At 38.5% G+C, this 27,344-nt stretch overlaps 1 protein-coding gene and 1 long non-coding RNA gene across 14 annotated transcripts in view, besides 1 other annotated feature; one reads left to right on the plus strand and one right to left on the minus strand.

The window, feature by feature from the left end:
* Positions 1 to 27,344, plus strand: part of LOC101929727 (uncharacterized) — a 248,010-nt gene that overhangs the window by 136,369 nt on the left and 84,297 nt on the right. The gene's annotated exons all lie outside the window — the stretch shown is intronic.
* RNLS (renalase, FAD dependent amine oxidase) overlaps positions 1 to 27,344 on the minus strand; it is a 411,796-nt gene that overhangs the window by 96,958 nt on the left and 287,494 nt on the right. For 5 of the 13 annotated variants that reach the window (XM_017016384.3, XM_005269948.4, XM_005269947.3 and 2 more), the window contains one exon: positions 15,622 to 17,026. In XM_017016384.3, coding sequence (XP_016871873.1) covers positions 16,929 to 17,026 — 98 coding nt within the window. In that variant the 3' untranslated portion in view covers positions 15,622 to 16,928. Of the gene's footprint in view, positions 1 to 5,381; positions 6,553 to 15,621; positions 17,027 to 22,083; positions 23,160 to 27,344 lie in introns of those variants that run through there. The other 8 variants (XR_001747122.3, XM_017016382.3, XM_011539924.4 and 5 more) reach the window with 3 other exon arrangements.
* Positions 3,121 to 3,170: an enhancer, noted in NCBI's record as "active region_3722". NCBI's record gives its function as "activates an Ori minimal core promoter by ATAC-STARR-seq in GM12878 lymphoblastoid cells {active_cell/tissue: GM12878}" and the evidence as "EXISTENCE:reporter gene assay evidence [ECO:0000049][PMID:35858748]".

Here is a 27,344-nt window from a genome sequence, read left to right on the forward strand (position 1 = left end):
GGGGGGGTTGATTCCATGGCCCCTGCATGCTGTATATCTCTCTCACTAGAATGACAGTTTCAAAAATGAATCAGGATGGCTTAAGCGAAAGAAGAACTTATTGATTCCTACAGGCAGACAGGCCAGGGCTGAATTCAGAGCTCAAATGATGCCATCAGGTCTCAGTTTATCTCCATCTCTTGGCTCTCCCATCCTCTGTGTTAACTTTATTCTTGACCTTCCTATGGGGACCCTGGCAGCTCTAGACTTGCCCCACAGAGTGGCATGGCTACCAGCAGCTTTGGCTCAGATCTTTTGCTTCAAGTCCAGTGGGAAACTCTTGCAATGTTCTGAGTCCCAGTCTGACAGAATGAATTTATTTCAAGTTTATTTTACCTCTGAACCAGTTGGTGTGGCCAATACAACATGAAGCACTGACTAACTCAGGCTTAGGGGTTCTGACCACTCCAGCACATGGTGGCTTGCCCCACCCCAGGCCACACGGACTGAGGGTAGTGAAAGGAAGCCTACTCAAATAAAACCTCTGGAAAGAAAGGCTGTTAAGCCCTGATGTTAGGGGGACAATCAACAAATGTTCACTAGAGTCAGAAAATTGCTGGAATCTATAATAAAGATCAGTGAAACTCAAAGAGACATATCCTCTTTGGGGAGAAAGCAATATAATGCAAAATGCAGGTGCATCAAATCTTTCAGACTTCTTTGGCCACTTTTAAACATATTTGACAACCATGAGATTGAATAAAATATTTTCATACACAGGGCCCTGGTTTGGCATTCACAGGGAGTGGATATGAACTGATACTTCTCTGAATCAAGGAGTATTTACAATGAGATTCCTGAGAATAGGTTGTCTATATGTAAATAGGGCTAGTATACTAAGCTGAGGTCCTATGCATGAAACTATTTTATTAGTCCTCCCTCCCTAATTTCATGTTTTTTCACTGCTTGCTTGATGCTTTGGCAGAAAAACCAAAGTGACAGCTATATTAGGCAGGTCTGAGCCGTCATTCTTACCCATCATCAAACTAGGGCCTGGCCTAACTGACTCCTGCTGAAACAGGAGGCTCTGGGTTTACAAGGTCTTGATCCATTATTTGGGTGACTGCCCCACAACAGGCCAAAGACAGAAGTCATGGATGTCTGAGGGGCATTTTAAAAAAGGGTTTCAGAATTGGGCAACAGGGGCCTGAGAAGTCTCCTTTATCCATGGCTTACACTGCTTTGAGGGGGCCTTAGAGGAATACAATGTGTTCCTTCTTTAACTTGTAGTGCTGCTCTTCTTTGGACTTGATTTATGTACACAACAATAGAAGGTTTTATTTGAATATAACTTCTATGACTATAGCACAGTTTGTTATTTTGTTTTATCATTATTATTATTTTTTGAGACAGAGTCTCGCTCTGTTGCCCAGGCTGGAGTGCAGTGGCAAGATCTTGTCTCATTATAACCTCCGCCTCCTGGGTTCAAGTGGTTCTCCTCTCTCAGCCTCCCGAGTAGCTGGGACTCCAGGCGTGCGTGACCACGCCCAGCTTATAGTGCAGTTTGAAATCCACTTGTCTAACCAAACCCTTCATATTTCTGACAAAGCCCTGAGAAGAAGAGTCATTTCTTTAAGCCAGCCGGGAACATGAGTCTTCTAAACTTTGAGGCCCTCTTTGACAAGAGGAGAGAGGAGTAAACGAAACAATGACACTTATTTCTACCTATAATCTCCGTTGATCGACCTTTGTACTCCACGGTGAGTCTTGCAGCTAAGAGACGCAAATTAGACCTATTTGCACTCCTAGTGCGGTCAAGTGCAGTCAAGATCTCCTTCTCCTTGAGCATCAGGTGGTGTCTCCTGGCTGCTCTCCACATCTTTTATTCTGAGGATTTAGCTGGCTTGCCTCAGTCTTCAGGCCAGGCACTCCAAAGGCAATTTAGGGGACAAGTCTTGCTTGTTAGATACTGGGTCCCTTCAGCCTCAGTTGCTGTCTTGTGCCTCAGGGGTTCCTAAACTCGAAGTGGTGGCCCAGAGTTTCCTTCAGGTGCTATGACACTGATTTGAGAAAGAAACCTAAGTTTCAGCTGCCCACTGTTTCCCTCTGTGAGCAACTTGAGTCTGGTTCCACTCAGGATCCTCTGAGAACTTAGCTCAATACTTGTCCAATAGTAAACACTCCATAATGTTTGCCTGTTTGAATCTATAATCAAAATCTCCAGTAGGAGAAGGCCCTTGTATTTCTGTTTCATTTTTTTTGCTAGTTGGTGGGAGAACACACTTTTCAAAATACTAATAGTTCACCACCGGACAAGAGATACATACAACCCCAACTTCCAAGTAAATGGAAAATACCTTTTCTGGGTACGTTTATTTGGAAAGGGTTTCTTCACTTGAAGAAAGAATTAACAAACCCCTGTTTGGGAGGATAAAACAAGAAATTCCTTTGGGATGTCTCAAGTTTCTAGAGAGCCAGGCTCTCGCAGGCTGAGGTGGCTTCCACACTGTTCATGAACTGCTCTTGGCGGGCTGGTGGCCTGTTTGATATTCTGAGGTCTAGCAAAGATTTAGCTCCAGGGGGTCATCAAGAGGTCATGGTCTTGATCATTTCCTCTGTTATTTATCTTTGGCTTGTGGTACTGGAGCCTGCCTTTGATACAGGGCATTTCTACCACAGCTGCACAGAATCAAGCATTTCAGTGATTTGGTTTGAGGTGAAGGAGGCTTGGCTTCTAATGCTGCGAAAATGTCACTGGGTACATCTGAGAATATCTAGCTCTGTCCTTCACTGATGAGCAAATTCATTTCTGGGGGTTTACCAGTGGCACTTCCCAGACTTGGGTCAGGAAAGGAATCCTCCTGGTGAGGACAGCAGTTTTCAGTTTGAGTAATTCCATTTTCAGTTCCTTCTGAGACATTTTTCTTGCTCTGAGCTGGAGATAAAAGCAGCATGTCTCAGGCCTCTAGGGTGGATCTCTACTTTTCAACACTGTTTATGACTCACCTGTGACTGCCCTCAGTGCAGCCAAGGGGACCATTTATGCTGAATTAGCCTTTGGATTTTTCTTCTTAGTGACAGCAAAACTTCCGTGACAGCAAACAAGTAAACCACAGGAACATCCCTGGTCTGCTCAGCACAGCAGGCTCTTGGGTTCTCAGAGAGCCTGGGAGGACTTTTCAGCTTGTCTTATGTGGGTTTGTTCACCCCGTCCGGTTTCATTTTTATTTAAAACAATTGGTATCTTTCATCTTGGTTGCCAAGTATGGGTTGCATATGGTTTTGACCTGATATGAAGGGCCCAAATCAAATACCCAGGACTTGGCCTGGAAAATTGGTTGTATAAGACCTGCTCTCTTGTTCCCCTAAAAAGCAGCCTAGCAAATGGAAGCAATGGGTCCCAGGAGTTCGTTTCTGTATGCGGCTCTAACTCTGCCACGAAGGCCAGGACAGATAGTGTGCAGTGCTCTGTCATGTCTACCAGAGAAAATGATGCAACATGTGCTGGAGACTTTACCATCTGTGCAAGAGTGCAGCCCTAGGCTCAATCCAAAAGAAAAAGGAAGTGGCATTATAGCAGGGATATTCCCAGTGAGTCAAATTCCCAGAACAGCCTGTCCCTCCTCAAGGTGGTCAGTGTGCCCCAGCATCTCACCTCCAGATTTGGACTAAAACAGAACTGTTGCGTGCAGGGGTTAGAGAGGACTAGAGCAGTGATGTATTTTATATATCATATTTTCTAGCAATGGTTTTCCATCTGAAACCCAGTTTACATTGTGGCCCAGGGCACAGAAACAGAAGCTTTATGAAACAAGTTACTGTTTCCATGTGTCAGCATTCTAATTTTCCTTTCCTTTTCCTGTTCTTTTTTCTGTTATTTTAATTTTTTAAAAAAGCTTCTTGACTCACTAAATTACTATAACAAACCACTTATGAGTCAAAGCCCATATTTTGAAAAACAACATTGCATTAGTGTATACAGGCAGCACCTTGGGAACATTTATAGAATATGGATTCTTGGGTCCCTCTCCAGGGATTCTAATTCAGTCATTCCTGGGCCCAAGAATCTACGTTTTATGTTAACCTGACCTAAATGTGACCATTATGAGGGCAGGAAACGGTTTTGATCCCTAACATATCCCAAGTGCTTTACATGAAGAACTTGGTACAGCACAGGCTCTTGGTCATTGGTGGTTGAATAAATAAATGAATGAAAAAGTATTGATCTTCAAATGATTCCATCCTTCAACCCCAGCCGTGCCTCCCTTTGCATCTATACTGTTGTCTTCGTTTTTTTAAGATAGATACTCAAATAGTCTCTAGACCTTTGAATTGCAAAATTGCTTTGAATCTCCAAGTTGGAAGCTGCCTTGAAAGTCTCTAATCTAGGGATTCTCAGGTGTAGAAACTTTGTCTCGCTGCTTTAGAATTCCTTGGGGAAGTTTAAGGCAAATACATATCCCTAGACCCCAGCCCTGGAGTTTCAATCCAGGTAGATAGGGTTCATGGCCCAGGAATCTGCATTCTATCCTCCCTCGGGTGATGCTGTGGCCCAGCCAGGGTTGGGATGCACTGTTCTTGTGACCTCTCCCCACTGTGGATCACTGTGGATGGTGGTCACCCAGCCTCTGCTGGAAACATTTTGGGCTGGCAGAAAGAAACTCCCAGAGGTCTGCTCCACATTGAAAAGCTCTGCTTATTGGAAATTTCTTACTGATATTAGCTTCAATCACTTTCCTACTGCTGCTAGTCTTGGTTCTGCCCTCTGGAGCACCTCAACACAAGGCCAATTGGCTGCCTGACTGCTCATTGTGAAAATACAGAAAAAATATAAAGAAAGAAATGAAAATTTTTTAAAATCCCACCACCTTGAAGACATTGAATATTTCTTTTGGTCTTAATATATGTACACACATAAATGCATGTTATACTCACTTGATGTTTTTTAGAAATGACAAGCATCCTGTATTCTTGACTTAGCATTACATATTGTGGGTTTTCTCTTAACATTATATCACAAAAAATATCCCAGATAGAAAAATTTGCTTTAAACCCACATTTTAAAATGACTGCATTAAATTCCACTGTTTTGATCTATTAGAATTTATTCAGCCATTTCCTGTTAGTGTTGATTTAGGTTATTTCCAGTTTTCCACTATCATAACTAATGCTTAAATAAACATATTGCAAATAAACCATCGTCTGCATCCTGGATTATTTCTTTAAGCCAGACTCCTAGATGAAATTTATTGAGTTAGAAAACATGCTTTAAAAAACACTTGATACATATTGCCACTTACTATGCGAACAGGATGTGAAAGTTTTCACTTGTACCAGTCATTTTAATCCCTGATTAGAATTTAGTCATTCAAAAAAAAATGCCAAATTGATAGGTTAAAAAATTACGTTTCATTATAGTTTTTAATTTGTATACTTTTTGTTTACTCATAAGGCAGAACACGATTTTAAATATAAACACACATACATAAACATACATATGTACACATTTTGATTACTCATGAGGCAAAACATGTTCATATATATTTGTGTGTGTGTATTTTTTCCCATTTGTTTTGGCATTTCCCTTAAACAGGATGTTAAAAGATAAAGAAATAGATTTAGTCTATTTTTCTGCTAGAGAGAGGGGCCTCACACTTCTTGTTGATTTGCAAATGCCCTTCTCCTCTTTGTAAGTATAAGAAATATCAACTTCTTTATTTATTGTGGTAAATATACATAACATAAAAGTGATGATTTTAACCACATTTAAATGTGCAGTTCTGTGGCATTAAGTACATTCACACTGTTGAGCACCCATAACCATCATCCATCTCCAGAACTTTTTACCTTCCCAAACTAAAACTCTGACCCACTAAACACTCACTCTCCATTGCCCTCTTCTCCCAGCCCTTGGCAACCACCATTCTATTTTCTGTCTCTGTGAAACTGACTGCTCTAGATTCCTCATATAAGTAGAATTATGTAATATTATTTTTTGTGATAGGCTTATTCCACTTTGCATAATGACTTTAAGCTTCATCCATATTGCAGCATGTCAGAATTTCCTTCCCTTTTAAGGCTAAACAATAGCCCATTGTATGTTTATACCACATTTTATTTATCTATTCATCTATCCATGGACACTGGGTTGCTTCCACCTTTTGGCTGTTGTGAATAAAGCCGCTGTGAACATTGGTGTACAAATGTTCGTTCAAGTCCCTACTTTCACTTCTTTTGGATAGATATCCAGATGTGGAACTGCAGATCATACAGCAATTCTATATTTCATTTCTAAAGAAATTGCCGTATCATTTTCCATAGTAGCTACATCATTTTACATTCCCACCGGCACTGCACAAGGGAATCCAATATCTCCACATCCTTGCCAACATTTATCTTCTGTTTTGCTTCTAAATAATAGCTATCCTAAAGGCTGTGAAGTGGTATCCTTAAAAAAAAAAATCAAATAAAACCTGACTGTGTGCTCCAATTTCCAGGAAGTCAGATGGGAAATCCAATCGCCATCATCCAGGGGCTCTTCGCACATCCTAGAATCACACCAGCACTTGGTACCTGAAAATCAAAGGAATATCCTTCAACCCCAGTGCCACCCAACACAATGGCCTCTGACACCTTGTCTACACTAATAGTGGTTCTTTGCTTTCACGGAACATATATAGACCTGGAATGGGGAGGGTTCTGGCTCTATAGGTGGTCTTGCTAACTTTTTGAGGAGCTGCCACCAAGCAGGACCCCCCATTTTACATTCTTTATCCTAACCTTGTCCCACTTATTTCAGTTATAAAAAATTCTATCAGTTGGCTTTAAAATACTCTTCATAATTGTTATCTTCTATTAATCTTCAAATTATTATTTAAAACATATAGAATATATAAAAAATTAACATATTCCTTTGAATGCAGGTCTCAGTTTTAATACATTTTAACATTTTGCCTTATAAAAACTCTTGCACAAGGGTAAAAAGAGAAATGTGCAAACATATTTATTGCAACAATGTTGCAACAGTAAAAATTTAGAGCAACCTGATGTCTATCAGTAGGGAAATGGACAAATAAATTGTGATATATTCATAAAATGGAAGAGTGTACAGTAGTAAAAATCAACGAAATATATCTATGTATATCGACATGGAAAAATACTAAAAATACAACCCTGGGGGAATAAAGTTCTAAATACATACAATATGCTGTAAAATTAAAAACGCACAGAACATTACCATAATTTATGGATACATACATATGGTATCAAAGTAGGAAAATATGGTGGTGTTACTACAATTAAAAAGACATGTAAGTTGGGCACAATGGCTCACATCTGTAATCCTAGCACTTTGGGAGGCTGAGGCAAGAAGATCACTTGACGGCAGGAGTTTGAGTCTTACTTGGGCAACATAGTAATACCTCATTAGAACAACAACAAAAAAATTAGCCTAATGTAGGGGTGTGTGCCTGTAGTCCCAGCTATTCGGGAGGCTGAGGCAGGAGGATCCCTTGAGCCCAGGAATTTGAGGCTGCTGTGAGCCATGATCAGGCCACTATACTCCAGCTTAGGTGACAGAGCAAGACACTGTCTCTAAAAATAACAAAACAAAACAAAAACATGCGAATAATAAAAAACAAAAAATAAAACAGATGGACTTTAGTCCTATCTGTATCATTTTTAACTCTTAAAAAATTGAGCTAAAATTTTAACTTTTGTTGTTTTCTCTACATTAAGGACATACTTTTATTATAAATTGTTGTATATGTATTTTTCTTAACTGGTCTGTAATCTTTTAGTTTTGTTTTCTAAGAGTTTTAAAATATAATCAAGTAGACCAATTTGTATTTTTATGATTTCTTTTGTTAATTTCTAGAACTTCTTTTGCAACCTAGAAATAGGTTAAACATTTATCTATATTCTCCTCTATATGGTTTTGGGGGAGGCATGTATTATATATTTGTTTATATTTATCCCTTTAATCCATCTGGAAATTATAGTAATATACGGTAGAATCACATTTGATTTTTTTCTAAAACTAAATACCTTGCTAATTTTCCTCAAATTATTTGTTAAATAATTATTGCTTTCTCATTGGTTTTGTATTGATTCAGTTATCACATTAAAGGGCTATTTTATAGTTATTATTTCCACTGATTTGTATCAATTCCTGAATCAACAGTAAACTGCTTATTTATCTAATTTTATCGTATGTCATAATAGCAGATGAAAGTGCCATTTTGCAGGAAGGTACTTACTACCTTCTTGCTCAAACTTGTTAGTTATTTTTACCTGTTAATTTGTTTCCAGATGGACTTAAAATTATTTTTTCAGGTTAACGAAATCCCACTGTGATTTTGTGCAACCTATAAATTAATCAGGGGATAATGGAAAAAATTCATAATATTTGCAATTTCCCTCTAGGGACATGGTATATCCTCCCTTGTTCAAATGTTTCAAAATGTCACTCCATAAAATTTTGGAAATATTTCCTTGCATAAATTCTGGATCCTAACGATAGTCCTTTGTTGATTATAAACCATGCTACTATAAAGACACATGCACACGTATGTTTACTGTGGCACTATTCACAATAGCAAAGACTTGGAACCAACCCAAATGTCCATCAATGATAGACTGGATTAAGAAAATGTGGCACATATACACTATGGAATATTATGCAGCCATAAAAAAGGGTAAGTTCATGTCCTTTGCAGGGACATGGATGAAGCTGGAAACCATCATTCTCAGAAACTATCACAAGGACAGAAAACCAAACACTGCATGTTCTCACTCATAGGTGGGAATTGAACAATAAGAACACTTGGACACAGGGCGGGGAGCATTGCAAACCAGGGTGCCTGCCGGGGAGGTGGGGGGTTGGGGGAGGGATAGCATTGGGAGAAATGCCTAATGTGGATGACGAGTTGATGGGTGCAGCAAACCAACATGGCACATGTATACCTATGTAACAAATCTGCACGTTGTGCACAGGTACCCTAGAACTTAAAGTATAATAAAAGAAAAAAAAAGATAGTCCTTTGCATTCCATTTTTTGTTAACAACATTATATATAAGATACATTTGCTTTGATTATTTTGGCATACAGAAGAGTTATTGACCTTTGAATGTTTGTAATTCAGCCACTCTACTTATTTCTCATCAATCTAAAAGTTGGTGCACCTGAGTTTTCTAGGAGTATAATCATATTAACACAATTTGTAACCACTTTGCCTTCTGTTTCCCAACATTCACACCCCTTAAATATTTTCCATGCCTTAATGCATACCCTAGAAATTTTAGAACATTGATGTAAGAATCTTTGACTTCTCCCTAATTTAATATAGATGGTTCTAGTGATTTATTCTTAATTTAATGTTTTTTATAGTTTTAAAATAGAAGTCCTTATTCCTTTAAGGTAGTATCCCGTTTCTAAATTTATCATGTTTTAGCAGCAATGTATATTAAAGTTTGCCAAATTTAACTTTTCACAAATTTTAGCAGATTTGTCAAAAATTTTCAGCATCTGTTGAAATAATTATAAAGTTTTTATTGTTTCAACTATTAACATTTCTTAGTATGAATAGTTAAAATGGTTTATTTAGTGAGTGGGTTTCCTGATTTTAGGCACATAATGAATGGGTTTCCTGCTTCTAGGCACATTCTTGTAGCTCTTTCCTATAATATAGAGCTAATTGGTTAGAGTGCTGTTCAGCCATAATGGTCAACATCTCAATTTCTCAATTAGGTGATGCTTGCCAATTTTTTTTTTCTCCACAACGGTCTCTGTATCACTAACATTCAGTTTTCTGACAGTCTTTTGGTTCACAGAAAATAGTTTTGATTATTTTCCGAAGGATAAATAAACATGGCTTATTGTAATGGTTAAAATATATGGTGCAAGTTTGAGGTTGGCAACTGTCTTGCAGAAGTGGGTGCAACTAACTCTAGGCCTAACTCTTGCCACCTTTAGAGCAATTCAATTTAAAAAGTATCGAAAAAATAAGAATGTCAGTCAATAAACCCTGCTTACATGTCATTGGTAGGTGATAAAATCACAATAACAGAATACACTGCTACAGAAGCTATGTTGATTGTTTGCACAAGGACAGCACCATTCCCCTCCCCTCTCCCACGCTAGCACACACATGTGCATACACAACATACCAACTACATAGAGATGGCCCATTTTAAGTACCATATTTCTAATGGTAGAGCAACTCTCCCGCCTTCCCCCAACCTCTTCCAAAATATAATGGGATGTAGTATAAAGTAAAGACTTTCTGAAATCACCTAATGACTTTGAATAGAAACCACATAAAGCAAATATAGATACTATTGTAATTATTGCCTCTGTTAAGGATGAGGTTAGTACATTTTTGTTCTGTGAGATAATTCTGTGTCAGCAAGATTTTCCTTTGGTACTTACTAATATTAGAATAAAAAAAGTTAATTAGTTAAGTTCATTCATTCATTCTTTGGATCAACAGATATTTACTGAGTAACTCCTATGTGCCAGGTCCCACTTTTGTGGCTATTGCAATTTTGGCAGAAAGCAGATATTGAACAAGTAAGTACACATGGGGTAAGTATCACAAGAGTGGGGAGGCTAGATCGGCTGGGGGAGAACACAGTGCCATGCAAGGTCTCTGAAAGAGCACAGCCACAAACCACAGACAGCATTTATTCATTCAAGAGTCAGTAAGAATTTTTGAAGAGGCCTACCTTAAGGTGGCACTTAAATACAGTCACCAGTGAGTTCTACAAATACTGAAGTGGCTTCCTAGCTAGATCTAAAGCTACCTATAGATGTAGTGACGGCTATCAAAGGGGATTATTTTCCTAAATCATATTTTACTATTATAATAGTAATAATAATGGCCAGCATTTATGGAGTGTTTTCTCTACGCAGGACACAATGCTTACACTTTGCATGTACATACTATAACCCTCAGAATAATCCTACAGTAGGTAAAATTGTATCCACATTTCATAGACGAGGGCCCTGCGGCTCGAGACAGAGACAAAGGAATTGGACCAAGATCATACATCTAGTAAGTGGCATATTCAGGATGTCACCGACCCCACCAGGAATTGAGCTGTTTAAAATGAAGGCCAGGGACAGGAAATGAATCTGCATACTTAGCCAAACACTTAGGAGTGTGAAATAACTCACTCCTAGTTTTCACAGTGTTTCGGAGATTCACTAATCTTCAGCAGAATCCAATCCAAGCGTGCAATTCTTTGCATTCAGCACATATGGTTGCTAAGAAAAAAGACAACGTTCTTGCAGAGAATGCTTCTATTTTATACCATCACTACTCCTGGTAATGACCTTTCCTAGTGTCTTTCCAAGGACTACATTAGAGCAAACCACCTTTTCCCCAGGTAAGCTGTCTACTTACTCACTGTAGTTGGAAAACAGAAAGTGGCCCAGAGCTGGTCACCAGGAGACACTGACTGCTATTCTGTCTCATGGTTTTGAAGCAACCTAGAGCTTTTAAGCTTCTGGGTTTCACCATGTTTTGCTGTCTATCCACTAACTCTCCTTATCATCAATTCTCCTGTGTCCTATGTGACTACAGAGGAAATTGGCCTTCACAGAGGCCTCAGAGGCACCGGGTTAAACTCTTCCTCCCCTCTCCTCTCCTCCTCCCCCCTTTATGATCAACATCATCATTGTTATTATTTACTAAGTACTTACTATGTGTTCAGCACTCTCTTAAGGTTTTATATGAACGTAAGCCTCACAACAATCTTATGAGGTAGCTATCAATAACTCATTTTGCCGATGACAAAGGAAGCTAAGTGAGATTGTTTAACTGCATCAAGGTCACACAATGAGGGGCAAACTTTAGATTAAAGCGCAGATCTAACTGCAGATGATGTGTTCTTAACTGCAAAGTTATAGGCTTGCCTTAAGGGATTTACAACGTGGCATAGGATCAAGGAACAATGGACCAGACGTGTGGATCAAAGATAAGATCATATTTACGTAAAGTGATAGGTTTAAGATTTAGAGGTTCTCCTTGGACCCCTGAGTGTCTACAGACAGATGTGTGGGGGGAGGGGTTGAACCTAAAACAGGGGTCAGTAAACATTTTCTTAAAGGACTACATAGTAACTATTTTAGATTTTGCAGGCCATATGGTCTCTGTCAAAAACACTTATCTCTACTGCTGTAGTGCAAAACAGTCACAGGTAATACACAAATGAATGGGTGAGGCTGTGTTCCAATAAAACTTTATTTACAAAAACAAGCAGCTGGTCAGCAGGCATTAAATGGTATGCAAATTCTATGTGCTCATATGCATAGTTGTCTTTGTTGTTGTTATTAGGAGATCCATAGCTTTCTATAGCTTCTTAAACAGGTTCAAAATCCAAGATGGTTAAGAACTGGTCTAAATGGTTTCCAAACCTCTCTAAGCTTAGATATTCCACAGGGTTCCATAATTCAACCAGCCTTTTACATTAACAACCCCTTAGAGATTCCTTCTCCTTAGCAGGCTCTTTTGTGGGATTCTGCTGTGAACTGTTGAGTGGACAATAATTACTGTCTATTGAGAAGGAAACGTGAGTCATACTACCATTCTACCTTCCTTGGTTTACCTGGTCAGATGATACTGGCTAAAACACAAATATATTCCAGACTGAAATACAGCAGTTTGGTCCTGCACCAGATCATCTGATGTTTGCTGAGACTTTTTTCTCCTGCCACAGACCTCTTTCTCTGTTCTGCTGAGCTTTCTGCACAGTAAGAACTTATTTGTGCTGAGCACACTAATATGCAGTTTGGATTCTGAAGTCAGCCAGGTCAACCCAGGTATGGTGTGGAGGGGAGGGATATTGCTGGATGTATTTGACTGAGGCGTCTCTGTATTTGTTCAGGGATCCTTTCTCCCCAAAGGAAACATTTCTCTTAGGACTCCCTAGCTTCACGAATTAGAGCATCTTATTCACTGCCTGTGACCTTGTCAACATGTACCTCTACTCTGTCTCCCACTCCAGGGGTCTTGTCTTCTCCTAAGTAGAATCTCTGGGTGGGGATTGCTGATTATATTCCATTGTGTACACTACGCAGCCTGGTCCCAGGCTTTGCACACGTGTGACAGGAAGAGTAAAGAATTGGTGTAAAGAAACCATACAAGTCATGTTTTAGTTTATTAGCACTGAGATCCCTGAAAGCTATGGCCAGTTTTAAATTCTTGCATCACTTTCGAAAATCAACATAAGGGTTGTCCAATCAACTTGAATAACAAACAGGATCATCCCTCTGGGATGGCTTCCAGCTTTACATTTTAAGAACAGCCACAACAAAACCCTGATATATTAAAACCTGGAAGTACAAATACTATGAATCATAAGGTGATTGCATTCATATTCCCGGTTTTTCTGAGAATGTAGAATTAGGCATAGGAGAAGAGGCAGGAAAAAAAATAGAAGGGGAGGAAGAAATGGCAGAAACTGGAAGAAAAGAAGAGAGCAAAACAAGGGGAACAAAGAAACAAAGAGGAATCAGATGGAAAGGATGAACGCACGGTGAGTCTGTACTGTAACCAGCTACAGCTGGGTTGAAATTCAGTGTCATTAGCATGCAGCTATTTCTCACAGCAAGTACCCCCCAAAGAAGGAAATAAACCAGCAAATGAAAGTAACAGGAGTATGAATCACTTAGCCAGTACTTACAGAGACTTTATCCCATATTAGACTCCTGTATATATCACATCAGGATTAGTGTTAACTCTCTGAAATGAAACATCAATAAGAAGACCACATGATGCGGACTGTACCCCCAACTAATATTTCAGTTCAGTTTTAATTAGCATGTTCATCTGGCAGCAGCATGGTGCCTGTAAATAGAAACGGGTCATGAGGGGCTTGGGCTCTTGTCCTGGAATAACATTACGTGACCCTGGTTGGCCAAGATCTGTGCCTTGGTTTCCTCACTTGTTAAATGTAAATAAGAATTCTCTGCTCTGCTTATTTCACAGAGGTGTTAGGAGGATGAAAAGTGAAAATACACACACACACACACACACACACACACACACACACACACACACACACGCTTGGATGAGTATAAAATGCCAGAAAAATGTAAAATTGACCCTGTTCTCTTCAGTTAACAAGGTAGTGGGTAGGCGGGGGGTGGGGACCATGGCATTTTGCACAGAAGGCTTGATGACTCAACGAAGTGTCTTCCTCCCCGCCCTCCCCCCAGTAATATCTGGTCTGGGATTACTGCTGCTTTCTTGATGTTTTTAGACATACTCTTCTCCTTCAGAAATGCCAAAGGTGAAAAATACTATTTCACTGCTATAATTTGTCACCCTTGCTGCCTGAGCAAGACGTGCATAGACAGTTTAGTAATTAAGCTTTTCAACACTGCATCATAAAGTTTTATTCTGGCAAAGGCTATATTTATCAGCTAACAAGTATTAAATCACCCCACTGCTCAAGCCGTTTCTCACTTGAATACGCTCCTTTCAAAACAGAACAGCTTTCCTTGGCTGGCTTGATTAATAAAAGTTCTTGTTTGGAAATACTGTGATGATGTGTGGCCCCGTGGGGCTAACATACATACACCTTGGCCACTGTTCTACCTGGTGCTGACTCCCATCTCCCAGGGGAGTTTGATATCTTAGCCTTGTGTCTCTCAGAGCATCCTGGCCAGCTGAATTTTATGGCCGTCTGGGATGGCTTCCAGGAGGAGATATTTCTACCATTTCATTTCTAATGGGGAAGAATTGAAAGAAAATCTAAATGTAAAATAAGTTTTCAAAATAATTAAAATAGCAAAGTAACAATGATCTACATATCAAGTAGGGTTTTTCCTCATATTGCCATAGTCTTATAAAAACAGATGCAGAGTTAGAAAGAATAGATATTAAAAGTCATTAGTAATGGCTTAGAGGAGTACGGTCTCCAAGCAACCCATCCCAGCTTTACAAATTCCCTCCCCCTCCTTTGGAGGACATAAATTCATAAAACAAATATAGCATTGTTTTTAAAGGTTCAGGGTGCTTTCAGTCAAATGGCTCCTGAATTATATTTGTTAAAAACAAAATAGTTAATTTGAATGACCTTTCTACCATATTTTAAGGGTAAATATGGTAGAATATGGATAAAGAAAATGTGGTACATACATAGCATGGAATATGATGCACCCATAAAAAAGAATGAGATCATGTCCTTGGCAGGAACATGGATGGAGCTGGAGGCCATTATCTTTAACAAACTAATGAGGGAACAGAAAACCAAATACCACAGGTTCTCACTAACAAGAGGGAGCTAAATGATAAGAACATATGGACACATACAGGGGACAACAGAAAGTGGGGCCTACCTGAGAGTAGAGGGTGGGAGGGAGGAGAGGATCAGGAAAAATAACTAATGGGTACTAGGCTTAACTCCTGGGTGACAAAATAATCCGTACAACAAATCTCTGTCACACAAGTTTACCTATATAACAAACCTGTATATGTATCCCTACATTTAAAATTTAAAAAATATAAATAAAGACAAATGTTAGTCAAATATGGGCGAAAATAACAAAAAATCACTATTTTTCATCATTTTATAGAGACTACAAATTTCCTTCTTCCTCCCTCTGCTTTCAAAATAAGTGACATTAACCACATGTTGGCATTTAAGTTTTTCACCAATTTATTGCTAAGAGGAAACATATAATAATATGCTATAGGGTCATAAAACCCACTTTGCAGCTATAGAAGCAAGTTCTGCCTGTGCCTGTGTATGTGTATGTATGACAGTGGACATGTAAGTGTGAAACTTTAAACACTATTACAGTAAGAAGTCTTTTGTTGAACTTTTGTTAGTTTGAGAGGCTGCAATGATTTTTCTCCTTTCAAAATGCTGAAATAGAACTCATCATTTTGCTTTTCAAATTAGCAACAGGTAGCTGGTTTGGAAGGCTGGAGATTGATTTCTCTCCAGCTAGCAAGTCGTGGGGTCAGGTCACTGAAGCATGTGGGTGATATGCTGAACCACCAACTTGGCAAATATTGAACTATTTTAAGTGCATCTATTTTCTGGTTCAGTAAATTTTTTGTTGTGTTAAATTCATTAAACTCGACACAGTCTAAATGCCACAGCACATACTGGAGAACCCATAAAGTAACAGCAACAGCTATAAAATATAGCAAAAGGTAAGGATCGATATACTTTCTCTCTGTTTCTATTTAATTTTTATCTTTCATATTAGGACTGGAATTTGTTTGAAAGTTAAAAAGTACTGTGTGGCTGGGAAAATCATGTGGAATCTTATACTTTCTGAAAATCTGAAGGAAGGTCTCTTTATCAGTCAAGTTGCCCTCCACACTAAGATGATGACATATATGACCTACAATTCAGGATCACTTAATAACTTGGGGGATAAATGAGAAATAAGAATTACACTCTGTTACCTACATTTTGGAAAAATCTTGTTTTGTATAATTTGCAAAAATATTGATTCAAGGACACATCCGAAGACTTAAGATGGGGCTTTGATAATGTGATTATTCTTTATTCAGAATTGAAATTTTCATAAGGATAATCAAGTTTTTGGCACACAAACTGTTATTGTGATTTAATGTAATTTTTTTGAGAGAGTCGTTTGTTATTTTTTAAGTACCACTTTTCCTCCAACAAGGAGTAGTCATAGCAATTCAGAAAAGTAGGGAAGGTGCAAGGTGTGAGGAATTTCCATTCTAGCATGGGTTGTAACTATCAAAATTACAAAATTGATTTTATACTCCACATGAAAAATGATAATAAGTGAAGAACAATTTTCCAGTAATTTTTCTTAGCAAAATAGAAAACAAAATAATCAATAACAGAAAATTGTGAAAATAAAAACCCAATACACATGTAGAGAATAAGGATATAGGCACTAAATATAATTCTTTAAAGCTTCCAGAACACATAGGGCAGAAGTGATGCAGCCATCAAAGTTGGACTGAGTAAATCCATCCCCTCCACATGCAAGGAAAGGTTTGTGATGCAGAGTCATTTGGCCAGGACAGTTGGCAGCAGCATTTGTAACCTGAAAAAGTAAAAAGAGGATTGCAATTGACATTCTGTGCTCTATTGTGCTGTCATGGCAACACCCACCTGGAAAAGGTTAGTCTACCTGGAGAAATCAAGATTTCTCACAAGAAGCACCAAACAAACAAAAAAAATGCACACACAAGAAACAAAAAACAAACCAAGACTCACTAAACGCCCCTCAACCCCAGTTCAAGTGTTTATATTTATATTCTTAAATGTTTAAATTTTCAGTTATTAGATAAGGTAATCAGAAGTGGGCTGAACTTCAAAATTAGTAGGGGCTATAGTCTGAAGGTTTATCCCCCTGAAATTCATATGTTGAAGTCCTAACCCCCGAGGTGATGATATTAGAAGGTGGGGCATTTTGGGAGGTGATTAGATCATGGGCAAACTCCTCATGAATGGAATCAGCTCCTTATAAAACAGGCCCAAGGAAGCTTGTTGGTCCTTTCCACCATGTGAGGACACAGCCAGAGGTGCCATCTATGAGAATGAGGGCTCTCACCAGACACTGGATCTGCCAGTGCCTTGATCTTGCTCTTCCCAGACCCCAGAACTGCCAGAAAGAAATTTCTGTTTATCAGCCACCCACTCTATGGTATTTTGCTATAGCAGCCCAAATTGACCAATACATCCTTCTTCAGTTTCTCTCCACTACTCCTCATCCCATGGTTCCTTCTTCCTCACATATTTCCTGAGCGCTGTTCTGGCCCAGGCTCCATGCTGAACATTGGAGCAGGAGAATTTTAAAATTTCACAACCTTGTCCTTAAGGAAATTTCAGTCCTGAGAGTAGACTGACCCCAAAGCAGTCTTTTTAAACAGCTTTTTATTTTCATATCTGAAAGTATGAAAAAAGACACAGAGATTGTTTTTCTGGAGAAAATATTCTCAAAATTTGGATGGATGATGGCTAATAAGCATTTGCAGTAAGGAGAATGAGTGGGAGGTGAATGTAGTTATGTTGGACACTGAGATGATTTGGCCACTGAAACACCAAAAACCCTCTAAAAAACCAGAATATGAAAACTTGTTGTAATGGCCATCTCACTTGGGACTGCTTCACTGTACAACTTCAGGGGGCTCCATTCACCTGGATGACAATATGACAGTTCTAGTCTCTCTTATACAGTGTTTTCATGGATAGTAATAGAGTAAGGCCCATGAGGATTTACTCATTTAAAAATCAGGAAAAAAAAATCAAGAAATGTAATAAATTCTATTTAAATTATGGTTCTGAGATCTTTGTTCTAGATAGGCTGAGTCAGTATATTCCCTTACAGTTTTTTTTTTTCTTCTAGAGATAGGGTCTTGCTCTGTTGCCCAGGCTGAAGTGCCATGGCATGATCATAGCTCACTGCACTCTTGAACTCCTAGGCCAAGAGATTCTCCTGCCTTAGCTTCCTGGTAGCTAGGACTGTAAGTGCACACCACCATGCCTGACTAATTAAAAAAAAATTTAGAGATGGGGTCTCACTATGTTGCCCAGGCTGGTCTTGAACTCCTGGCCTCAAGCTATTCTCCTGTCTTGGCTTCCCAAAGTGTTGGGATTACAGGCATAAGCCACCATGCCTGGCTTACAGAGCCTGCAGTTTTCTTAAAGCAGAAAAAGTTTGCCATAGATATTTTTTATTTATATGTTATATTTGCTTTTTTAAAAGAGATGGTACTATTATTTCCCTGTTGAACCTCTAAAGACATGGGCCTCTGTAGACCTGTGTCACTGAGATACAAAAGTGAAATATTAAGAGTATCCTCTCATGTTTCTGGAGGTCTCTTACAGCAACATCATCTATCACAAACATAGCTGATAATCTTGAAATCAGCAGACAAGATCTTTGAGTGGCTAAAAGAGGCAGCACATAGTGCAGTCACTGAAGCACAGACTTGGGTGATCAATTAGAGCTTTTAACCTGCTTTAGATAGAATGTTATCAAGTTGGATTATTTAATTTGTCAGTAAAACACTACAGGAAGAAGAAAACGGCTAGGATTCTAGATATTAGTGATTTCAGAATGTGATAACCAATAGTCTAATAGCAAGGGATATGTATTAGTTCATTCTCACACTGCTATTAAGAACTTCCCTGAGACTGGGTAATTTATAAAGAAAAGAGGTTTAATTGACTCACAGTTCCAAATGGCTGAGGAGGCCTCGAGAAACTTATAATCATGGCAGAAGGAAAGCAGGCACGTCTTACATGGCAGCAGGCAAGAGAGAGAGAGCATGTGAAGGAGGAACTGTCAAACACTTACAAAACCATCAGATCTCATGAAAACTCACTCACTATCATGAGCACAGAATAGCGGAAACTGCCAACATGATCCAATCACCTCCCACCAGGTACCTCCCTCAACACATGGGAATTATGGGGATTACAGTTCAAGATGAGACTTGGATGGGGACACAGAGCCAAACCATATTGGGATGCTATATAAAAACTCAAAACCCAGACAAGACTGGGAAGAATCCTGGCAGACTGGGGCAATTAAATGGAGAGGCAAATAACTTTCTGGCTCTTAATAGGAGCTGAGGGCATCAGTTATTAGTTGTCCTACAATCATTAATGTTCACCATGATGGCCCCAGCTTTCAAGAAGCAATTCTAATATGCATAAAATATTCATTGCTAGCATTTCTTGAATGTCCACTGCCTATCAAATGCTGTATATGCACACCCCATTTAATTCACATAGCAACCCTATGAGGTGGTTACTATTGTTCTTATTTTATACATAAGAAAGTTGAGGCTCAGAAAGATTACTACTTGCCCAAAGACGGAAAGTCAGTAGATAAAGAAACAGGGATTCGAACATAGCAGGCTGACTCCAGAACTTACATTTCCAGCACTTTCAGAAATATTTCCATAAAGACTCGATGAAGTAAAACAAAACAAAAATTTTTGATTAGTCACTTAGCTTTAGGCATCTGGAAAATTCACATCAATAGAATAAAGCATTCACACATATTCATATCTATACATATATGTGTGTGTCTATGTATAATTTGCATATACATAAATCTCCATTTGTGGTAAAATTTTGATACATTCCTGTTGACATCCCTGTATAGATAAACTGTGGCACTATTAAACATTGCACAAGTATTAACCAGGAAGGAGTTTAAGGAAAAAGGTTTTGCCCAGTCATGAGGTGGTAATTTATTGGTGCTGTGTAATTTAATTTGATGAGTGGTAAATGCCAGATGCCAGATCACATGGCTGGAAAACTGGGCCACTGATTAGCCAGTCGGCAGTTTGGATGAAATCAATCTCACTGCATTTAGGTGGAATCACCCATTTTGCAATTACCCAATGAGGAAAATATGAAAACATGGAGCATGTATTGGCAAGCTCCTTCACCCATGTAAAGTAAGAGCCCTGCAGTGGAGGAGCACGTAATTGTCAAAGCCACAATCTCACAATAATGCAGCCTTTGGCTATGCTTTCAGCCACAGTGAGGAACCACAGCTCAATGACTGTGTTTAAGAGAGATGTCAGGGCTGAAACAACCCCTTGCAAATCCAGGTTGCTTTGGCTCACATGTGTGCCAGGGCTGGTCAGAAAGAACTCTTGCCTGCTCTAGAGTAGCAAATGCAATGTTTCTATAAACTTAGGCGATAACTGGACTGGGTATATAAATAAAGCTGAAGAAGTGGTTTTATTTCTAAGCAATTTAAACCCATGTCAATGTGTTTTGTTATATAAAATGCAAACGCCAAAGCCCCTCATGGAGAGCTCTTCATAACCAGGATCTTACTTCCATTAAAATCTCACCTCGTGCCACTTCTCTCACCTTTGTCACCCTTGTCCTTGCCACTTCTCTCGCCTTTGTCCTATCTATATTCAAACTCAGGTTCTTTTTCTTGTACTTCTGTGGCTTGGAACAAACCATTTTGCTGGGTGATGTTGCATTATTCCTCCTCTTTGCTGACAAGTAAATTGCTCATCCTTCAAGACTCAGTATAAACATCACCTGCTCTGAGGCATTGTTGCTCAGCCAGGCAAGGTCAATGCCTTTTCAGCATGTTATTTCTATCTATTATATTACTTGCTATTTTGCACTGTAATGATGTCCATGCCTGTCTCCTCTCCTCCTAGACTGCAAGCTTCTAAGAATAGGGACTCTGACTCACTGATCTTTGTATCCAAGGCTGAGAACAGTGCCTGGACCATATGAAAGTGTGCAATAAATGTTTATTGTGTTAAAAAAAGATATTGTACACAGTTGATCAAATGAAGTTCTTGACAGAAAACCTACACAAAAAGTATTATTCAGAGGCTCCCCATATAGCTGAGGAGAAGCTCAAATGGAGGAACTATTGTATTTAGAAGACTCTTAATAATGATGAATGAAGGGGTGTCCTCTGGCCTCAGACTGTGCACTGCTTTAATGACTGTCTCCTGTCATGTATTAAGTTGAACCACATAAACTTGCTGATTCCGTCGGTCAAAAATGGGAAAATATTGTCAATTTGTATATGGTTCAGCCTAATAGTTTCTTTGCATCATGATTACTAATTGTAAAAGTTCACACAAAAAAGTGCTTTTGGTGTGAAAATGAAATTAAAGATGAAAGGAAAGAGGTAGGCAGACAAGTAGGCTGAGTATTTTCACAAAATGATAGTTGATTATTTGCAAAATAATTCAAATAATGTCCATTCTTCCTTTCATATCTATGCTAAAGCTACAGTGCGTCCCTGGACTAGGAGACATTTCCCCATAGAGAACAGTCATTTGTCTGGCCTATAGAGTGGCTTTATTTTAGGCTGACCTATTCAGCCATCCAGCCCATAATTTGGTTACTTAAACAAACCTTTCTGAAACATGGCAACAGGTGACATTCAAGTGGGTAGGCAAGAATTAAGGTTTTATAAATTCTAATTCTAGATATGAAACTAATGTGATCAGGGAGACTGGACAATGAATAATCAAGTTTTTCCTGCTACATTTCCTCACTTACACCATGAATGCAAATTATGCCACATTTCATTGAATCTAAGGCACCATAAAACACAACAATATTTTATGTACCAATGAGAAAGAAAAAATGGTGTCAACATGACACAAAACTTTATTTTATACTTAATAGAAAAGTTCTTTCAGATTTATCTACATGTATCTTTTGCAAACATAAAAAGGAAATAAAAGAGAAATACATTGGTGAAGCCATTCTAAAGGCTCGCATTTAGAGATGGACTTCTCCGAACCACTCTTTAACTCAGACATGCTGATGTCTGATATCCATGCACTTCCTATGCAGTCTGTCCTCTGTGCTGTCTAAAACACTGGCAATGTGGCATTTCTTACAAGGATGTTCCACTGAATTATTTTTTCTTGGGTTTTCTTCTGAGCTGCTGACACTGTTCTCCAAGTATGGATTATGCTTTTTTCTCTTCACTGGGAAAGAAAGGTTTTCAGACAGCAACTAGACCTCATATTCTTTCCTCAAATTGTTCTTAAGTAATTTGTTAGTTTAAATATCAAGAAGTTACAGCTGCCCACTCCAAGAGCACCAGAAATAACCAAGTTCACACATGTGAAAACTACATCTTGACTATCTCCTGGTGTATACTGATGGAGTGGCATCTTATAGTTGAAGAAATATGGCAAGTACTAAGTAAGGTGAGGGGAGAGGGACAGTAAATACTCTACAGTTTCTCAATGCATGACAAGTCAAAAGATAATGAATGGTAGGATCCTTTAAGCGGTGCTTTTTCAGTTAAGTAGCATTGTTGCTGTTAGGACTTCTAATGTCTTTAGCATTGCTGGTTTAAACACTCCACTTTCTCAGCTCACCCAAATGAGCAGCGTCAGGTGAAACTGACAGAGATATACTGGTTATCTAAGAATCCATTTGTTCATTTTCAAAGGAAGGTAAATGTACCAATTCCAGAACCAAGTCTGGTTGTCTTCCCAGATCATTCATCTTGCTGGGCAAATTTCCCCAACTGTATCACAGATTATGGGGGTGACACAGGTGCAGCAACTCCTGACAGACATCACTAATCAATTGTGGCATTCTTTCCAGGAAGCCCAACAGGGCCTCAGCATCCTTCTCTCTTCCGTGCCTCAGGCAGCCACCACCAGTCAATTGGAGTTGGCATTTGAGAGGAATTCTATATACCAACCCTGGATTAGAAGATTACAGAAGGAACACATAATTAGAAATGAGGGAACTAAATATTCTTTACTGTTTTTTTTCTCTCCTTTCCCATTAAATTACTATAGCTTGATGCATTGCCTTTCTCCAAGCCAGAGACCCTTTAATGCCAAGAAACAGATCACATCAGGAGCCATTTCCTCTAGATGCCGCTGCAAACCCAATTACAATTCCTTCTAACAACCTTCTAAGACCCCTCTCCAGGACACTACCCTTCTCTGGGTCACACAGGTGCTTTGGCTGCTGTGTGAAAATAAAATACAGGCGTTTTAGCTACAACCATAGTTCTACAAAATTGTATGCTAAAAATATCAGGGCTTGTGGAAAAAACAGATTTGGGGGCAGATGACTCAAAGCCTATGGAACTTTGAACCAAGCACTAACAAAACCAATAAACATCATAGTAAAGTGGCTAGTACAGTTAACATTCTTCCAGCTTCTGCATCTAGCTACAGTGGTACACTCTTTGCAGCCTAGATCCTGGGGCTTGTGTTTCTCCTTTGAGATATGGGTCTTGGAGGACAGTTGCTTCTAAAATAGAACATTTTGAGCTAAATTGAAAATATGATCTAGGATGCTGCCTTTTTCATCAGTCTGTCATGTTAATATAGGGGAAATATCTTTGTGGTTTCACCATCTGGACTTCCACTTTTGCTAAAGAGCTTAACATGGTAGAAAACCAGCAATTCTTTAAGCCATTGGAACAGCCACTATTTGCACTAAAGGAAAGCATGTTTGTAGATTTTTAGTTTTTATTCCTAAGACCTTCACATTTAGCAAGGCTTTATCTTTGCCTGTAAGAAAACTTACTCCAATTACTTCAAAATATAAATGAGTTTGAAACCAATATGAGTCTCCTGATACTGATCTCTTATTTCTCAACTGCATACAAGGTAACTCACATTAAAAAAAAAAAAAAAACCTAGTTGCAAAAGACTGTAGATAATTTTACCACTTTCTTATGTTATATTACCTTCCTGCAGGTCATTTTAATAAGCTTTTGGTATGCATGAGCCTTGACAGCAGATGGAGATGTCTAAGCCATCCCTTGTATTTTGATACTCACACTGCATCTTTTAATAACAATTTTCGGCCAAGCGTGGTGGCTCACACCTGTAATCCCAGCACTTTGGGAGGCTGAGACGGGTGGATCATGAGGTCAGGAGATTGAGACCATCCTGGCCAACATGGTGAAACCCTGTCTCTACTTAGAAAAAAAAAAATACAAAAATTAGCTGGGCGTGGTGGCACGTGCCTGTAATCCCAGCTACTTGGGAGGCTGAGGCAGGAGAATGGCTTGAACCAGAGTTGGAGGTTGCAGTGGGCTGAGATCATGCCATTGCACTCCAGCCTGGTGACAGAGTGAGACTCTGTCTCAAAACAAATAACAAGAAACAAAAAAAAAATTTTCATCCACTCCAATGTCTGACAGTGACTTTTTACTTAAATTGTTCCTGAATTCAGAGAAATGCTATTGTTTACTGGTTGCACACTAACTTGACTGGGGAAAACTTTGAGTAATAATCTTCTTGCCTTGGCATTTCCCCTGCTCATTGCGTATGTGAGGTATTGACCATACTGGCAATAATAAATAGCTCTGAAGGCTAAGATGGTATGGAGCTGATTCATACATTTTCTCACTTCCTTGCATTTCTCTACTCTGCTGCCATTGTAAACATAAGCCCATGCCATGGTACATAAACAGCAGAAATTGAATATTTGGTTAACTTGTTCTTTTATAGCCCCTATCTATGCAAAGCACAAAGGTAGTTTTTCCCAAAAGGCAATCTGTGGCAAGATGAAAAAAAAGTAAGAATTCTGAGCTTTTTCATGGAGCTAAGTGCATTTTATATATATAATATGTATAAATCTGTTATGAGGTTGTAACTTTATTTTTGGGTTTATTCTTTTGTTTAAATTCTTGTAGCTGTGTTTTTGCCTTTTAAATTTTTAATTGAAGAATTAAAAGATAACAATATTACCTTAGTTCCCAAAACATCTAGAGAGATTTTACTGGTCCATGAAAAAAAAAATGCTTGGAACCACTGCTCTGGGGTAAGGCTTGACACAGCTCAAAGCAGAGTCTCTGTCAGTCTGAAGAATGTTTTCCATGAAAGGGAGAGATGGCGGCTAGGGAGGAGCTAATGTGAGCTTTGAAAACCCATCAGTAATTTCCATTATCACTGGATAACCTGAGTGTGGGTGTGGTGAGTGGATGAGTAATTTCTAAAAATGGAATGAAATCTTGTATAAAACATGTTTCCCAGAAATCTGCACAATCTCTTTTTTATACAAATATTACTCTAGATAAAACTAGAATCTACAGTAACACATGGTTCGTTTGTTCACCCATGGTTAAATATTTAGGTAGTAACCATCTAAGGGTTGGAGGAAAATAGGGATTGGGGGAAAATGACTTAATCAAATGTGGAATAAATTCAAATTACATGTGGCCTAGAGAGTGAATGCGGTTCATATTGATTCTCTGTATATATCTCCCTAATCTTACCATATTCCCAAGGCATTGATTATAGCATTAATCACATGCCTGTTTACACACACAGGGAGAAGTGTCAATAAATGAAGGAGAGACCAGAACTTATTCTGATGTCAATGGAAATGCCTGTTTACCTATTTGCATATAGGAAACTAGTCCAGGCACTCTGAAAAAGATATAACTTCAGTGTTGTGGCTACAGTGGAACAATACTATTAGCCACTGAATAAAGTTCCATAATATAAGAAAGGAAGGGCTGGGACATGAAAGTTGAAAACAGGTTTTTTTTTTAAATTTATACACAAAATATTTTCTATTGGCCAAATTCAAAATGTAATGTTCCTGCTTCTACTAGGGGTGTATTTACCCTTAACGTTCTCCTATTTTTAAAAAATCCTTTTGGGGTTTGACGAAAATCCAACAAAATGTTGCTAATTCCTCTACACACAACTAACCAAAATGCAATTTGGTAAGAGATATTTGATGTTTAAAAGCCTTTTGAGTCCTTAAAGTAGCAAGCTATGGGGGCTGTGTCTTACTCATCTTTGTATTTCTGGTATCTATTACTCCACTGTATATGACTGGCATTGAATAAATATTTGCTCAAAGAATGAATGAACACAAGCCAACAAAAAAGCTAATTCAAAGTCTTGAAATTTTTATATTTTCAGTGTTCAAATGTTCTCTAAGGGTGGTGGAATTTTTTTCTCTATGGAAATAATTTTCTTTAGTTTCTGAGTCTCTAAATTTTGCTTTTCCGCCCCCACCCTCCAAATAACCATGCTATTAACCACCTTCTCTTTTGTCACACTTAACCCCTCACCACTCTATCCCAGTTCCTGAGCAACTGAATTGCCCAGGACAACACCTATTCTGATTTAATTTAAAAAATTCTTTCTTAAAACAGTTGATTCTCCATGCTCAGATTTTTGTAGTGAAGTAGAAATCATATACATATGAAATATATTTGTTATATTATTAAGAAAAGTGAGGATAAAGATTATTTCTTAACCATACACTGAATCTTATTACAGATAACTGATACTCCAAACTGGGATAATAATGATAAATTGGGGTGCTGATTATACCATTTAATCTATTTTTAGGTATCCTTCTTTGATAATTGAATCTCTTTTGGCCACAGATTTTTGAGGCTCTCAGTTCTAATCATCTTATGCTACAGTACCTAATATTCATAAAGAGCTTTATCAACACACGGGTGCTTTCCTGCAGAGATGGTACATTTTTAATTGGTTCTTATGTGTTGTGTTCATCATTTCATCTTTCCTCTGTTCTCATCTCTCCAGTGTTCTATTATATTTAACGGTGATTTCATAAACCCATTTCTTTGTTGTGCTTTAGGGAAAGACTTACTTGTATTGTGGACTCCTGATTACAGAGCTCTGTATCTGGTACTACAGAGAGCTGCTGTGAAATTACTATTGGTTGGAATACCTTAGGTGTGAAGAAAGCAATGTGGTTTGGTCAATTCTCAGTGGAGCTTTTCATTTTATTGGCATTTGTCTATTCTATTTTAATAAACCATTGGGTAGATGCAGGCAGAATGTGCCACAAATCAATTATATGATCCATGTAGCAGCTTTAGTGGGCTCAAACTGCAAAGGACATACTTTGCTGAAATTGTATATTCAATTGCT

Source organism: Homo sapiens, chromosome 10 (genome assembly GCF_000001405.40).
Source record: "Homo sapiens chromosome 10, GRCh38.p14 Primary Assembly".
Taxonomy (NCBI): domain Eukaryota; kingdom Metazoa; phylum Chordata; class Mammalia; order Primates; family Hominidae; genus Homo; species Homo sapiens.